We start from the raw sequence: 16,786 nt of genomic DNA on the forward strand, positions 1-16,786 counted from the left end.
AAGCTTAATCACTTCTTGAAAGGCTCCACCTCCTAATACCATCACCTTGGGGGTTAGGATTTCAATATATGAATTTGGGAGGACACAAACCTTCAGACCATAGCACAAGGTATCAAAAAGGAAACCGGCATGATTTTAGGTGGAGTGTCTAATTACCTTTTGGATCTATACTTTGGGAGTTTACCCTTTTACAAATTTCATAAACTATGTTTTGGGTCTAACTAGACAGCATCATATCCATAGAAGAAATATCTTGTAGTGTTCTTTATTAGGTTTAGCCAATTACTAATTTCTATCTCATTTCGACATGCAAAATATATCAGTTATAAAGATCACAGGTCAAGAATTTCAGCACCAATTATACAGTAAATTTGTAATTATGAATTTAAAACTATTATAACATTAGCAAGTTCTATGCATTCACTATCTTAATAAGGCACAGATGTATGCTTATATTTTTAACATGTCAAAACTGTAGTATTGTTCATTTTCTTGTTTTATTTGAATTTTTATCCACTTAAAATGCTGAAGATATAGACATATGTTCATATATTCTGTTTAAAATTCAGAATCTACAGATTTGAACAGTTTGTGAATTGGCTGGATTATACAAAATCAAGAACCTCACATTAAATCCAGTTCTTACTGCTTTGTTAAAAACTACTTTTGCAATTTTACTTGTTGATGACATATTTAAATAAGAAATTTAAACCAGTGAGGAATAAGAAAGTTCAAATGAGGTTGCTTTGGCTGTCTGTGTGTTTAAAGGAGTGTTGCTTTGGCTGTCTACATGTTCCCATTTGTACCCAGCTGAAGCTGGTATGAAATGTATATTTTAAAAATGAGGCCGGACATGGTGGCTCACGTCTGTAATCCCAGCACTTTGGGAGGCTAAGGTGAGCGGATCGCCTGAGGTCAGGAGTTCCAGACCAGCCTGACCAACATGGTGAAACCCCCTCTCCACTAAAAATACAAATATTAGCCAGGCACTGTGGTGCACGCCTATAATCTCAGCTCCTCATCCTCAGGAGGCTGAGGCAGGAGAATCGCTTGAACCCAGAAGGTGGAGGCTGCAGTGAGCTGAGATAGCACCACTGCACTCCAGTCTGAGCGACAGAGTGAGACTCTATCTCAATAAATAAATAAATACGAAAAAGGAGCCTGTACAATTTTAATTTCTTTCACTTTATGTATCAAGTAAGACTCATAGGTTTTAGAAACTGGTATATTATATTTTCTTTCCCACGAATGGAGACAATAGAAACACTTGAAGAAATGGGATAAATTTGACAGTACTTTGGATTCTCATAGCAAAAATTGGTAAACTTCAAAAAGCTTGTCTATTTTAAGACTATAGGTATAAACATATGTTTTTCATGCTACAAAGCCTGGAACATCAAGTGATTTTTACTTAGGTTTACAGATAAGGTCCCTGTGTCTGAATTTGAGAATTTTCAGAGGTCTTTCCTATTAAAAACTTTGTACACATTCTTTTTCCCCTTCTTTTCTTCCTTTTCCTTTCTTCCTCCCTCCCTTCCTCTCTGCCTTTCTTCCTTATTTCCACTTGATGTTATTCACCTACATTCTCATTCTCCCCTGATTGTCTCTTCTTTGCTCTCTCTCAGTCTTCTTGGGGTCCCCTTTTCAGATCATTCTCTCCCCTCTTGGGTTTCATCTCTCCACCTTGATCAGTCTCTGAAATCTTCTTGCCTGTTCATGACCTTCTACCTCCAGACACCTGCTATAAGGTGCTACTTAATTTGGAGTTGACTGTGGAAGGATGCCTCAGGTGGACAAAATGACTCCTCTGGGCCTTGGAGGAAGAACCTCTAGAGCCTGTTCTGTTACAGGCCGTGGAAGGACAGAGACAGAAGCACAGGCCCAGGAGCAGCGGCCTGGCAGCCAGCCATGAGGAGCCGCTTTGTCATACCTTAGAAGAAACTTTCAGGCTCCCCAAATGTGTGACACTTCAGTTTTCTCAATCAGAATACAAGAAGGCTTCCCGGAATCTCTTTTTCTAGCACTATAATTTTGTTAGTTCCTTACTGATGGCTTGTTAAAGGAATATTTTACTATATGTCATGTTAGTATTAGTGAAAGATTATAATTCTGTATATTAATACTTTACCTTTGTCAAAACTACCTTCTCTTTCCCCTCAAAAAAGCAAGTACTTTAGTTGTGGGTTTGCCCTCTCTTTTGATAGGACAAAGTACTCTTAATTCCTCAGTAAAGTAGCTGTCATCTGTGTAGGTCGCTAAGCCCAGGTTTTTCATTCTCTTCTCCTTAAGATTTTTTGGGTCTGAACCCCATTTGGGTGGAGATGCCACTGGCATGGAAATTCTTGCTGGTGACCTCACCTGCAGAGATTGTGGGCATGGCACCTGTATATCCATCTGCCGGACTTTGGGTCATGCAGGAAATCCTGTGAAATTCCTGCTCAGGGTTAACCAAAGGGAGCAGCTCTGAAGGGTTACATTCTTCTGGCCAGTCTCCTCCCTTATTAAAATGTGTAAAGAATCCTTTTTAGCCATGAATTCTTGCTGACAGGCTGACCCAGGGTCAGGATGGTGGGTAAAGCTAAGAACATTCCAAGATACATGTGGACCAAAAAAACACATGAAAACTGGTACAGACTTGGTATTAGAAGGGGTCTTAGTGATGCTAGCCCAACCCTTAGAAATGGGATGCCTTTCATATAAAGTAGGGGGTCCCTAACCAATAATATTGACTAAAAGCATGAGCCCTGGAGTTGGACTGGCGTCGATGCAGATCCTGGCCTTGTTACCTATTAGCTATGTGCTCTTGGATCCTAAGCCTCAATTGTTACCCCCATCTGTGAAATGGGGAAAAGAACAGTATCAGCTTTCTAGAGTTTGTATGAGGATTCAATGGGAAAAAGAGTATAAAATGCTTAGTATATTGTCTGGCACACTATAAATATTTATTAAATAACTGTTGATTAATTAATAAATTAATATTGATGAATTCAACATTTTGTATAGTTTCTCCTAATTCATTTTTGAAGGGCATAGAGTTATGCCTTGAATAATGCCCTTGAAACTTTTAAAGTATTAATAAATGAGTCAACTCTACTTTGCTTTTTCTCCTAGGTGAAAAGAAAGGGATTATCTCAGACAGTAAGCCAGGAGGAAAGAAAGAGACAAGAGGTATGTTTCTACCGAGCAGCTGCTTTAGAGCTCTGGAGTGTGCATGTCGGTGTCTGCTTTTTTGTGTTTTCACTTACTGTGTGCACTTGTTTAGTGTTGCCCTTTGAAAATGTATTTGTTTAACAAAAGCAGTAAGTGATCATTTTAATGTAAAGCTACGCATAAGCCCCCAGAAAAGAAAAAATTTTAAATATCTCAACATCACTCAACATCGTTTGATTTTAAACAACAAAGCACCTAGTTCAGGTATTTAAACTGAGAGAAATATGATAAAAAATGAAACCAACATTAGATCTTAGAACTGAAAAAGGATGTTTATGGAAAAACTGATAGTCACGTTAGTCTGTAGACAAATGTAGCCTATTTATGTAAGATACCCTAGGTTAGGGAAAGCTGGATGTAGCATACAAGGGTCTCTGAACCCTTTTTGCAAGTTTTCTATAAATTTAAAATTATACCAAAATAAAAAGTTTATTTAGTAAAAAAAAAAAAAACAGGTTAATAATGCAGTTTTACAACTTGAAGTTTAAATCAATGCAATTTGAGAAAATTGCTTATTGTAATAATATTGTGAAGCTCTCAAAGCATTTTCCTCTTGCTTCCTGCATATTATTGTGTGTGTGTGTGTGTGTGTGTATGTCAATGCATATACATACATATAAATTGATTCCACAAAGGACCCAAGGATGTCCTTTTTTTTTTTTTTGGTTGGCATAGAATAAAGTGAAATACAAGGGTGCAGTATAGTGCCATTTTTTCAAGTTTAAAAAAAATAATAGTATAGAACTTTGGTGTACCCATCCACTGAGAATTAACAAATGTATAACAATCGTAATTTTTCTCCTTTTTTAAAAAGAACATAAAACTGATAGTGTAGAAGGCCTGCATTCTCTTCCTCAGTCCTGTCCTATTCCTTTCCTCCCCAGAGACAACTATAATTATGAACTGGTACATATACTTCCAGCCTGTGTTTTAAAATTATGTATAACATACACACACATATTTGTGCATGTGTGTTAAAATGTATATGTATGAGATTCTATGCATATTTTTTGGTTTTCTGTTTTTTACACTCAACATTATTTTTGAGATTATTCATGTTAATGCATATGAATCTAGATCATTCATTTCAATCATCATATAGTACTCTAGTCTATGAACACCACCTTTAAATATTTTTTATCTATTTTTCCAATGCTGGACAGTAGGTGGGACTTTTTCCTTCATTGTTAACATTGTGACATAAAAATGTTTCCCTCTCCTTGTGGATAAATTTAAAAGCTCCTCCAAGATATTAATCCCATTTGAACATTTTTGTTCTTTTAAACCTTATATAACCTTGCCTATTTCTATCATATTCTGAAAATATTTATTCAGACTTTCTATTCCTATATAGCAATTCCTACCTGCTATATATAACAGGTCTAACCTAATTTGCTTTTAAATAGTTGATGGTATTATTGCAGGATATTTTAGCAATTATTTTATTAAACTTATTATAATAAACTGCCAATTATTTACCTTTTCCTGTGATCTATTATAAATAGTTCATTAAGTCTTTTTGCCCAGTTTGAGTATTTAGATTAGATTACACACTCTCTCCTTGATGTAATCAGAAGTAAGGAGTGAGCAGAGTGGGGGAAAAGAAGGAATGAAGTGACTTTGGACAGCTGTCTGCTGTGACAATTCATTACACACTGAACATCTGTCTGTCCACCCAACTTGAAACATACCTCAAAATTTCTTTCAAGGAATCAAGACAAAAGCCAAATGCATGAGACATTATAACCCTAAATGGCTTCCTTTGGAGATAACAAAGGGCTTATTTGTTTATGCCCTTCAGGAACAAAAGAAATTATTTAAAATGTTGAATTCAGCAATATTAATTTTTGTTCTCAAAACCCTCAATTATCACTTAATCACATTAATCAGTTAGCATAGTACAGCATTGAAGAAGTGAAAAATGTCTTTGCTGTTGCAAATATTTTAAGTAATTCCAAGGCATCGTATACATCAACACCTGAAATCCATTATTTATGGTCCAGAAGGGAAATTTTTCTTTAATTCGCTTTGTGTATAGTTTTTGGGGGTTATTGTATTGATTGAAAAAATTCAATACGCAGGTTAAATGAGACTCTTAACATTCTTACTCTTTACTCTTCAGATAGTTACATCACTTAATTTCATGAAATACAACTGAGGCTAGATTAGCACATTTAAGTAAGACCCAAGTCCCTAAACCTTACGGAAGTTAAAAGTGGAGGTGAGCACTGAGATTAGCACTTCTAACCTGATTTATAAAATATGGAGCACCCATCAGCAGCTGGGTGTCCACCTGCTTGTGCCTTTCCTGCTCCCACCCAGCCACAGTACCCTCTGCTCTTTGGGGCAAGGACTTGAAGGGGTGGAGCCCTGGAGATCAGGGTGATGAAGACAGAATTACCAGGGAGCTTTCCAGGAAGGCTGTGAATCTTAGGCCTGCATTTTCCCTATATCCCTTTTTAGAGGATCTGAATTTGATTTTGTTAAGGATCTAGATGAATTCCTTACGCAGGGCATTGGAATCTTATCCACATATGTGGGTTGGTATTTCATCATTAACAGTTATCAGGAAAACCACTGTGTGCCTGCCACTGAGAGTCTCTGCAGAGAGTCCTTTGCTCCTTCTTGAGACATTGATGAGAGTAGAGAATGTGACTTGTTGAATAGATGGAATTACTTTCAATTGTATGAGTTTATATAAAAGAATTCCTGTGGTTGATAAGAACCTTTTGAGGGTAGACACAGTCATACCAGAATATTTGCTGTTATTGACTGAAAATTAGTCAGATTAAGCATAGGGAGAGGAAGAGTGTGACACACAAGAGGGAAGGGAAGGAAGGTGTGAGAAATTTTCTCTGAATCTCAAGAGATGACCATAAATCCTTACTGTCCCTAAAGCAGCATGCTTTGAAAGCAGGGCTGGAGGAGATGACCCCAAAGGTTAATTAATGTCTCACTGAGATTTTATGACATGCCCTCGCTTCCTTCCATAGATTCTACCCCTTGGCAAAGGCATGACCTCAGGATGTGATGTCAAGTCATCCACATGATTTCATTTTTTTCATATTTACAGATAGTGATTATTTTTTAAGATTTGGGTAAATGTATATTATATAAAGAGAGTAGTTTTGTGATGTTGTTTCTTTAATGTTCTTTTTGTACTTTCCAAGATACTATACCTGAAAAGTGGAGTATCTTGTTATTCTTACAGCAAAATTATGAGAGCTATATTTAGTTCTTTAATTAAAAGAATTAATAATACATTTCTTTTTCCTTCTTACCAGGCTATCTTTGAAGTCATATCCTCTGAACATTCATATTTACTCAGCTTGGAGATCTTGATACGAATGTTTAAAAATTCTAAAGAACTGAGTGATACAATGACTAAAACCGAGAGGCACCATCTTTTCTCCAATATTACAGATGTCTGTGAGGCAAGCAAAAAGTAAGTGCACTGCAGTCTGCCTTTGGTCGTGCCAAGAAGTTGCGTACTAATAAACACTTTGTTATCTCTAAAGGAAGGCATTTCTGGTTATCAAGTCTCATTCAGTTGGCTTTTGTCTTGATTCCTTGAAATACATTTTGAGATATGTTTCAAGTTTGGTGAATAGACAGATGCTCAGTGTGTAATGAGTTGTCACAGCAGACGGCTGTCCTAAGTTATGTTATTCCTCTTTCCCCACTTTGCTTGCTCTTTACTTCTGATTACATCAAGGAAAGTGTCTTCGTTTGGTGCTAGTCTGTGATATTCATCCATTTCAGTAAAGAAAGAGTAAGCCTTAGGCTTAGGTCTTCTGCAGGCAATATCTGGCTACGATTTAATAATATATATTTTCATTATATTTAAGGATTTTTGCTTTACTTTTTGTCATGAAGAGTAGATAAAATCATATAATAAACTTTTATACATTCAAAACTTATATTTAGCAATTGTTAAAATTTTCCATATTTACTTATCTATTATTTTTGCTTAATTTTTTTCCAAGTATATACATTGGATGTTTTACTTATAAATGCTCCAGTATTCAGCTCTTAAGAATAAGGTTATTTTCTTACATAACTACACTGTTGTGGTTATACTTATGATGATGCTTTTATGATTTTATTCCATTTAAGTTTTGTACGTGTAAGTAGTAGAGTCACATGTTGCAAAATTCCAAAAATATGAAAGATCCTACAGTAAAATGCCATTCATATACTGTTCCCTGGCCACCTGAAACACAACCAGAGTCAACATTTGTTTCTTGTGTATCTTTTTAGTAATACTTTATGATTATGTAAGAAAATACATGTATATATATATTTTTCTTGTTTTTACTTAAATGTTACCATACTATAAACACTGTTCTGCTCCTTACTTTTTTTTACCTCTATCCTGGAGATTATAGCATGTCTGCACATTAAAACTTTCCTTATTCATTTTTATGTTTTTTCCTTGCAATTATTTGTTGAAGAAATCCGGTCATTTGTTCTGTAGAATTTCCCATGAGGCACATAATTTATGGGTGGTGATCAATACCAGATCCATTAATTCATTAAGGATTGTAAAACAGTGTTACTCTAATTTATCGTTCTTTATTCATTTATTAGCTGAAATATTTCTATAAAGGGAAAGGTACATCCATCTATTCATATATTCAGTGGTAAAGTTCACGTTATTCTATTTATTAGTGCTCAAATTGTTCCATCTTTGATCTTAACAATTTTTGATTATTTTCTTGCTATATGACATTTTAAGATGTTAAAGGATCATGTTTTACAATTCCTGCTCCAGGCCTGGAATCAACCATTTCCCCAAAGAGCTCTGGTGTCTTTTGAAATGAGGTGGTATTTAAAACCTCAGTGAGTACCAGCGTGCTCATTGCTAAGTGGTTTTAGGCTGTTTCAGTAGATACCCAGAAAAAAAATCCAAATTTTTCTCTATAAAACTAGATATATTAAAAGCCCATAGACACTCCAAATTTATCAAAGTATATATATTAAATAGGTACTTTTTTATGTATCAATTATACCTCAATAAAGCTTAAAACATAAAGAAGAAAGTCTAGTTTCTATTCTTGTCCCCTCTATCCTATTCTCTTCCCATATAGATACTCTTAAATAAGTTGTTTATCTTTGTTTTTTAAAATAAGCATATGCATATGCTTATGTATATGTATTCCCCTCACTTTCTTAGATAAATGAAAGCATATTCTACTTATTTTTCTCAGCCTCTTTATTCATGTAACAACATATATTAGAGGTTACTCCATAGTAGTTTATGGAGATGTTTTACTCCTTTCTCCAGCTACAATAATTATCATCGAGTAACTGTGTAGTAGTTTATTCATCCAGCCGCCTATCTGTATGAGCATTAGGATTATTTTCAGTCTCACTGTTACAGATAGTTTTTCTTTGTGCTTACACCCTGCTATATATTAGCCATTCTATCTTTGAGATTTTCTAGAATTAGGATTGCTAGATCAAAGGGTAAATGCGTATACTATTTTGTAAGATACTGCCAAATTCTTCTTCAAAGAAATTGTACCATTTTGCAGTACCACCAAGAATAGATGAATGCTTGCTTCCCCAGAGTCTTTCTAGCAGAGTATGTCAACAAACCTTTAGATTTTTGTCATCTAACCTTTAGATTTTGTCTGATAGGTAAGGAGGATTATCTGAGCATAGTTTTAGTTAGCATTTCTCTTATAAGCTTTTCCATATGAATAAGAGCCATCTGGAACATAGTATGTGTCAGTAAAATATTACTAAACTAATAATATTCCTCTATGATGTTGGAACAATTTAAAATTTGAGATAAGCACTAACATTACATCAACAAAAGTCAAGGAAGGAGAGGTTTTCTAATGCTCGCTGAAACACAAGAATATTTGCTTTGACTAGATCAGCAATGTTAACATGTAAGATTGGCTTAGCTAGTGAAAGAGAATTATCTGCTTAATAAGAAGGAGAGGGAAAACGTATTAGCATTTTTTTTTCTGCTCAAAAAGTTAGAAGCTGTTAGAGGCATCTTATCTGAAAAAGTTAATACAAGTAGAAATGATGAACATAACTGAATTTATCAAATACCAAAATATTAGAATCCAGGGTATTCCTTGAGGCTTGAAGGACGTGTACGTTCATTTATTTAGTTATTATTTTAGTTATCTTTTATGGAATACTTATAATTCATACCAAGCATTATGTTGTAGCCTTTTCAATAGAGTATGTATGTATCCTTAAATAGACTGCCCTCAGTGAACAAAGTCTTAGGAGAAATAACAAAAGTATAATGTAGTTCATGGTTAGTAGGCATGTAAAGATCATCACTCTAAGAGGCCAGGAAAACTGAAGGAAAATTCTAAAAGGACTGTAATAGAAATATGGTTTTAGTTTAATAAGCTATGTATACCTATATAATGTACGATTATTTAACCAATAAAATGCTTTAAAGGAATATTTAATAATATGGACTTTAATATATTCAGATTTTAAAGCAGGTCTAAAGAGTGGGATTTCATATTGTTCTAGATTTTAATTATTTGAAAGGTAATTTATCAAAACATAAAGGATAATTATCTTTAATGATAGAATTATGAGTTATTTTAATTTCTGTCTGTGTACTTATCTGTAGTTTCAGCATCTGCAATAAACATAATGTAGTTAGAAAAGGAAACACAAGGAAATGAGAAACAAGCAGTAAGAAATATGAGCCCAGAATAAAACAGGGGAGGTCACTGGATATGGCTGACAAATTCATAATTGGTTAACCTTGAAATAAGTCATTTTATTTAAAGTATAGACTAAAATTTTACTTTAATTTCAGTCATTTACAAAATTCATTTAAGGTTTTATTAAAAATTTTATCTCTGTCATAGCTTATCGTAAGGGGCTATTTTGAACATTTTTGTCTATTTTTTATTTAAAAAAGAAAACAGATACTTTTCATCCTCCATTAAAAGAAAAACAAAGAAATATCTGTATTCTTTACATTTTTATTTTGTTTTCACTTCAAATGCAATGCTTTAATATGGATATCTGCCTTTGTAATAATTTGATCTCTGTTATATTTCAACTAGGAATGTTCAGCTTTTACATGATAACTCTGTCTATATCATAATAACTTACATTACAAAAGTGTTTTTGATTTAGTTTGAAACACTCATTTCAGATACAGCCTTTTTGAAATTCAAAGTACTCAGAAGATTTATTTGCAAAGGCTATTTCATGATGTAAGGCCTGCTTGTTGAACTTCAAGAGTGACACCCAAGTGTTGGTAACTACTTAATGTATTACTCATGAAAGAGTTTGCAGTCCCAAGAAAATGCGAAATAAAATCTTGAGTAAAATAAATGATCAGTGTCTGAATTAGATATTACAGAGTAAGCATGGTATTGTTAAGTATGTCATAACCAGGGCTATCTTCATTGTTTTACTTTTACCTAATGAAAAATTATAGCTATAGGTGATGACATATTCAATATAGGTTGCGGTCAGAACATCCTGGACATCCAAATTAACAGTGTGTTGTCTAGTCCCCTGTATTGTGGCTTAGGTTGTTGACTGCCAATAAATAACACTAAGATTTATGTAAGTTGACACTATTTGAAAACAGACAAGCAGGGACAACGATCATTCTGACTGTGTGTGTGTGTACGTATGTATCAGTAGTATGTCTCTGCAAAATTCTTTTCTTCTTTTAAAACATTTCTCATTTCAGTTAACACTTAGGGCCTCCTATTCTGCAAGGCTCCTAAGTTCCAAAGCATTTCAGCTGGTGGCATCTCCCCAGGGGCCGTTGGTTCTTGGGACCCATGGTAGTTGGCGAACACCTCCAATGTATTTGCAGAGGCGTTTTAGGGCACTTTCCTTGAAATGGAAAGGCTTGGGTTTGGCTGGAGGTTATGGGTTTAAAGGCCCTTGGTGAAAATCAAAGGAGAGCATGAGAGCAGATGTTCGTGAAGGCCATTATGTGCCCTGCTGAGGCATTTTCACCATTTCCTAAAGCCTATGTGGAAACATTTATCAATTAAGTAGGGGACTGATTTTGTGGCATTGTAGAGAACAGTATGGTGTTTGTCTTAGCAGAGAGGTGAAAATGTTAAAAGATTTGAGGCAATTGAAGTAACACAGCTAGCTAGGGTGGAAACTGACAGGGGCCTCCAAGGGATATTGAGAGATATTTAGAATATGGACTCTTGAGGACTTGCTGAAAAGGCGGGGTCCTCCTAGGTTTGCCTCCCAGGTTTCTACCTGGTTGACTATCATTGGAAATTGTATTAACCAGGATATAAGAGAAACAGATTGGGGCTTAGGGAGGGAGACAAGGAATTCAGTTTGGGGCATTTTGCATTTGAGTGCCTGGAACATGAGAGTAAGGTATTTAGTTAAAAAGAGAAAAGCAGGTTAGAACTACAGAAAAATCTTCAGTAGGGATGTCAATTTGAGTCACAGAGGTGGTTCTTGTCATTTTAAGTTTAAATGAGATAACTACAACTTGTAGCAGTGGTTTGTAAGCAGTGGTGGTGGTATTTACCCCCTAAGGATACTTGGAAATGCATTTTTGGTTGCCCCAGTAGACTTGGGGGGCTCTATTGACATTAGTAGGTGGGGGCCAGGGTGCCAGGCATCCTACACTTAGTAGGACAGTCCCAGATAAGCCTGAATTGTCCCACCCAAATGCCACTGAAGCCCTTTTTGAGATGCATGGAGTAAAAAGAAGACGAATGTCAGAATTTTGACAAAGAAACATTTAAGGAGCCTGTGGGTTGGAACAGAAATGAGTTAAATAGGATAAGAGGAATTGCACAGTGTGCATGGATCTTAAGTCCTTTGGCTGTAAAGGGTTTGCCTCTCTTATTAACACCTTCCTGTTACTCTGTCTCTTAGTGCCATGGCCTAACAATTGTTTGTTTTCTAACCCTCCTTAAAAGGAGTATTTGGGGAGTTAGAATCCTACTGATTGTTTTTACCCTGCCTAAGAAGGGTGACACACTTTCCTTTTGCATGGAATGATTAGAGCTAAATTCTTTAAATTTAGGTAGTACCTAGATGACTTTGGGTCAGTGTCAGGGAAAAAGGCTTTGACTTCCAACTCTACTTCCTTCCTGTTTAACTGTACCAACTTCTTCCCTCTGACTCAAATTCATGAGCTTTTCCTGGTTTCATGATCTCCTTGTCTTTTAAGGACCTCGGCTATCTTAAAAGCCTGATCATCTCATGAAAAATGGAGTATTTGATATCATCTTTCAATTAGAAATGAATAGGCTTAATTCATAACTAAACATCACACATAGTATATACTTTGCATATTTTCATATTTCCTTTGATTTTTTTTTGGTTCTTCCCCTACAAAATCTACAAAAATCTATGGTTACTTAGGATAATTTATAGATAATCCCTGTGTTAATATAAAAAGACCTATAAATGTGATTAACTTACAATGATTTGCAACAGAATATGATCTAACACCAATTGTTTTTAAATTTAAGATACATCCCTATTAAAAGACTGATACTATTAGGAAAGAAAATTGTCTTTTGTAGAAGACTGAATGTTAACCCTTCTCCCATATTTAGAAACTCTAAGGTCTAAATAAGGTCTTTTGTGTTAAAAAGTTTTCTGCAAAATGAAAATTAGATGAGTCTTTGCTTTGATGTTTCATAAAAAGATGGGTTTTTACTCTCAATTCTGAGTTTTCATTCTAAATACCTAGGTTATGTTAACAGTCTTTCATTTAATTTTTTTCAATAACAGAGTGTGCTGTTATTAGTACCCTATAAAAATATGCTACTGAAGACCTTTGCAAGGTACTTGTTTCTCTTTTTCCAATTACAAAGTTAAAACATTGGTATTCTTTGGAAAGCCATTTAAAACTAAAACTATGCTTGTCTTCAATTTCTGCAGAGTAAAGTAAAAATATCCATCAATGTGCTTTTGTGTCCTGAGGAACTGAATTTGTTCCCAACATATAATGAGCAGTGAATGCCAAATTCTCTGGTTTCTGCTTTGTGTAGCAGAGTAAATTACAATAATAGTAAACATACAAAATAGTACTTACCCCGCACTTGCTTCTCCAGAAGTTTTTTCCCTAATTTTAATCAAACTCTATTAAAATTGAAATGTCATATGACATTAAAAACTACCTTACATGCACTTGCTTTAATATTATTTTATGAAATGAGTTCATATTACCAAAAAATGACAATTTATGTAAATAATAGTATAGCATATCTGCATTATGAAATACGTTTCTATTTGGTAATTAAAATTCTAAACTTTAATGCATAAGCAAATAACAGTAAACCTTCAAAAGTCTTTTATAGTATGAATATTAAAATTTTAACTTTCCTGACTAATTCTTAAAGCTAAATTTTAAAGGAAAAACACATTAAATTTAACTAGGCCAGAGAATATGGAACATTTTAAGTTGTAGAACCTGTTTAATTTTTGCCCTGAAGTAATGGCTGTTGCTATTTTTGTTAGCAAATGTTATTTTCTTACTCCATATATACTCAAGATAAACTTACCCCAGAGTCTTTGGTAAACAAAGCCATTACCTTATTTTCCTGAATATAACAGAGAAACTTTATTCTTTCTAAAATCAATTTCTTCAACTGACAGTTGAAAGACAGTGACATTCAGAAGCCACTCTTTATGTCACTTTTTGACTGTTTCTCTATCCTGAGATTAATGACAAAGAAGTTTATTTGAAATTCACCCGAAGTATTTTCACAATACTTCAAAGTAAGTCTACGTGAGTATTCTAGTCCATGTTGTTCAGCTCTTATCAACAACCAGTGTCTGGAGTAATAGTAAAAGAAATAGGTAGTTGTTTAGGTATTATTTCAATAAAGAAAGAAAAACTAGTGATGTTTTAATAGATGCAGTCCTTTGGATAAGACCTCAGGAAAGCAGTGTGGGATCTGAAGTCTTTGTACAATTGAACAGGAGGCCAGTTAAAGATGACTGATTAGAGACATGCACTGTATTCATTCTCTTCTAAAAATCCCAGTAAAAATGATGGGAAGGTCAATACACAAGGAAAAAGAAAATAAGAATGAGACAACAGCTACAATATTTTGGAACCTGAAAAACCTGAGATGGTTGTCCAGTAATGCAGGAAAGTTTAAATCTAGACTGGTAGTGAGGAAAACCAAGGATCAACCAGATTGAAATCCCAGAACCTCTGAAAGGTGGTGCATTGATTGATTGATTGATTGGTTCTTCCTTCACAAATCTATGGTTACTTGGAGTAATTTATAGATAATTGCTGTGTTAATAGAAAAAGACCTATAAGTATGATTAACTTAATTAATTTGGTCTAGGACTAGGTTAAAGGTAATTCCTAGGTGCAGGAATTGATGATGAAGTTGGGTAAAGGTGTGACTAAAACTGCAAGTTTCATGCAAATCTGTTTGAGAAGTAGTCAGATCCTAGATCCCCTCTTTGGCTCTACCCAGCAAGATGATGACCCTCTTTACCCCAGCAGCAGGGCAGCATTGGTGAATACTGGACCAGGAGACCCAGGACCACATAAGAAGGGGACTGTTGTACAGGAAACGAAGGTATAGTGGCAGTTGGCACCCACAGCCTTCTGCGCTACTCTCCTTTTGGAATGCTGGTAGCCAGGTTTGTGTGTGTGTGTGTGTGTGTGTGTGTGTGTGTGTGTGTGTGTGTACACTTTGTCCCTTTTCTGTCAAATAGTGATTGGCATAGTATAGGTTAAGTAACATTTTATCATCTTTGTTAATGGATTTATGTTCAAATACATTATTATTAACATCATTATTAGGTTTTGCAGGAAACAATAAGTTGAGTATTACAGCAGAAATATAAAAAGCCTCAAGAAATATCCATTTTAGTAACATGTTAGGCAAGTACTTGTTGACTTTAAATCTTAAGTTTCTTTCTCATTTAATAAGGATGATAGTATACTTAACCTTATAAGATTGTTTTGAGGATTAAATGATATACATAAAATGCTTAGCATAACACTAGACAAGTTCTTTAGTAGCAATTATTTTGTTGATGTTATTACTAAATGATTTTTATCATCTATGTCTGGTATTCTGAAATGTCTCTGGATTTTGTATTTGTTGACTTTTGTAAATATATGCCTCTGCCAGCATTGGTCTAGGACTAAATTAAAGAATAGGTCTTGTTTTATGCAGCATCTAGTGCAATGGTTTGCATGAGTTTATTTTTAAAGGTAGTTGTGGCACAATATTACATTTTAGCAATCATCTTTATTTTGACATTGAGTGAATCAAAGTAAATAGATTCTTCCATAATCATAAAGAATTAATTGTGACCTAGATTAGGACTAAAACCTGAGCTATTTTTTCCAACCAGCCTGGTGTTTTCTTTGTGAGTGGTAGATTCCTTGAATCAGTGCTTCAGAGCAGGCCCTGGCATGCTTCAGCTGCCAATTAGACCATTCTCCTGGTCACTTTTTGCAGGCATTTGGACCCATTATGTTCTTTTTGCATTGCCTTTACAAATTCTAAGTCTGTGGATTCTGAGTTGTCACATGGAGATTTAAACTTGGATAATGAGCCTGGTTGGGACAGACTAAAGTGTTACCTACTTAGTCATTAGCTGTTATCAATCTTAAACTAGGGTAGAATTTTGTGGAAAAAGAAACAATGACTGGGGTTTGGTTGCAGTGTTTCATCTGCATTGCATTTATAGCTGTGGATTTTGAACCATTACATGGATTTTTGACTCTGCCAGTTGTGAGTAAAACAAGCAGGACCACACAGTTTTTCTGGCTGATGGAAAAGATTTTAATTTAAACTTTGTATTCTAGCCAAGTTAAAGCTAGCACTTGATTTAAGTGGAAGGGAGATGGTTGATGAATTAAGTTTCAAAAGCAGACTTTTTAAAGCCTTCTAATTGCTTATCATAGGATGTTGCCTCTAATTGCTGTGCATTAATTATTAGCATCTGGGCATCAATTTTGTGTTTCTCCAAAAACTTTTCTTATTTCATCTGATTTAATCCTTAATAGCATGCTGTGAAGTATGCCAAATCCTTGAGTAATGTTGTTTTGCTATAATGTTGATGAGGGGAAAAATGGATTCCCAGCCAGGGCCATTGCATGTGTGGAGTTTGCATGTTCTCCCGGTGTCTGCGTGGGTTTTCTCCAGGTAGTCAGGTTTCCTTCCACCTCCCAAAGATGTGCACATTAGGTGAATTGGCGTGTCTGTGGCCCCAGTCTGAATGAATGTGGGTGTGTGAGAGTGCACTGTGATGGAAGGGTGTCCTGTCCAGGGTTGACACTTACCTCGCCCCCTGAGCTGCCGAGATAGGCTCTGGCCAGGTGTGACCCTGAACTGGAATAAGATGCTTGGGAAAGGAATGAATGAATGAATGCAAATGATTATGAAATATAAATTTGTATTATATATGATAATCATACAAATGCACTATAATAAACGATGCTTTTAGAAAGCGCTCATTGAGCCGCCGTATTTGTGATTGTTTTTGAACCGCATGATGGTAGGAGGTGCTCCTTCCAATTTTCACTTTGCAAACATTTATACCTTGATTTAACCCACTGCTGTCACTCACTGATTCACCAAAAATTGGGTAA

At 35.0% G+C, this 16,786-nt stretch overlaps 1 protein-coding gene across 5 annotated transcripts in view; it reads left to right on the forward strand.

The window, feature by feature from the left end:
- ARHGEF26 (Rho guanine nucleotide exchange factor 26) overlaps nt 1–16,786 on the forward strand; it is a 136,823-nt gene that overhangs the window by 25,275 nt on the left and 94,762 nt on the right. For all 5 annotated transcript variants that reach the window (NM_001251962.2, NM_015595.4, NM_001251963.2 and 2 more), the window contains exons 5-6: nt 3,112–3,168; nt 6,495–6,655. In NM_001251962.2, the coding sequence (NP_001238891.1) occupies nt 3,112–3,168; nt 6,495–6,655 (218 nt within the window). The remainder of the gene's footprint in view (nt 1–3,111; nt 3,169–6,494; nt 6,656–16,786) is intronic.

This window comes from Homo sapiens, chromosome 3 (assembly GCF_000001405.40).
Source record: "Homo sapiens chromosome 3, GRCh38.p14 Primary Assembly".
Taxonomy (NCBI): Eukaryota; Metazoa; Chordata; class Mammalia; order Primates; family Hominidae; genus Homo; species Homo sapiens.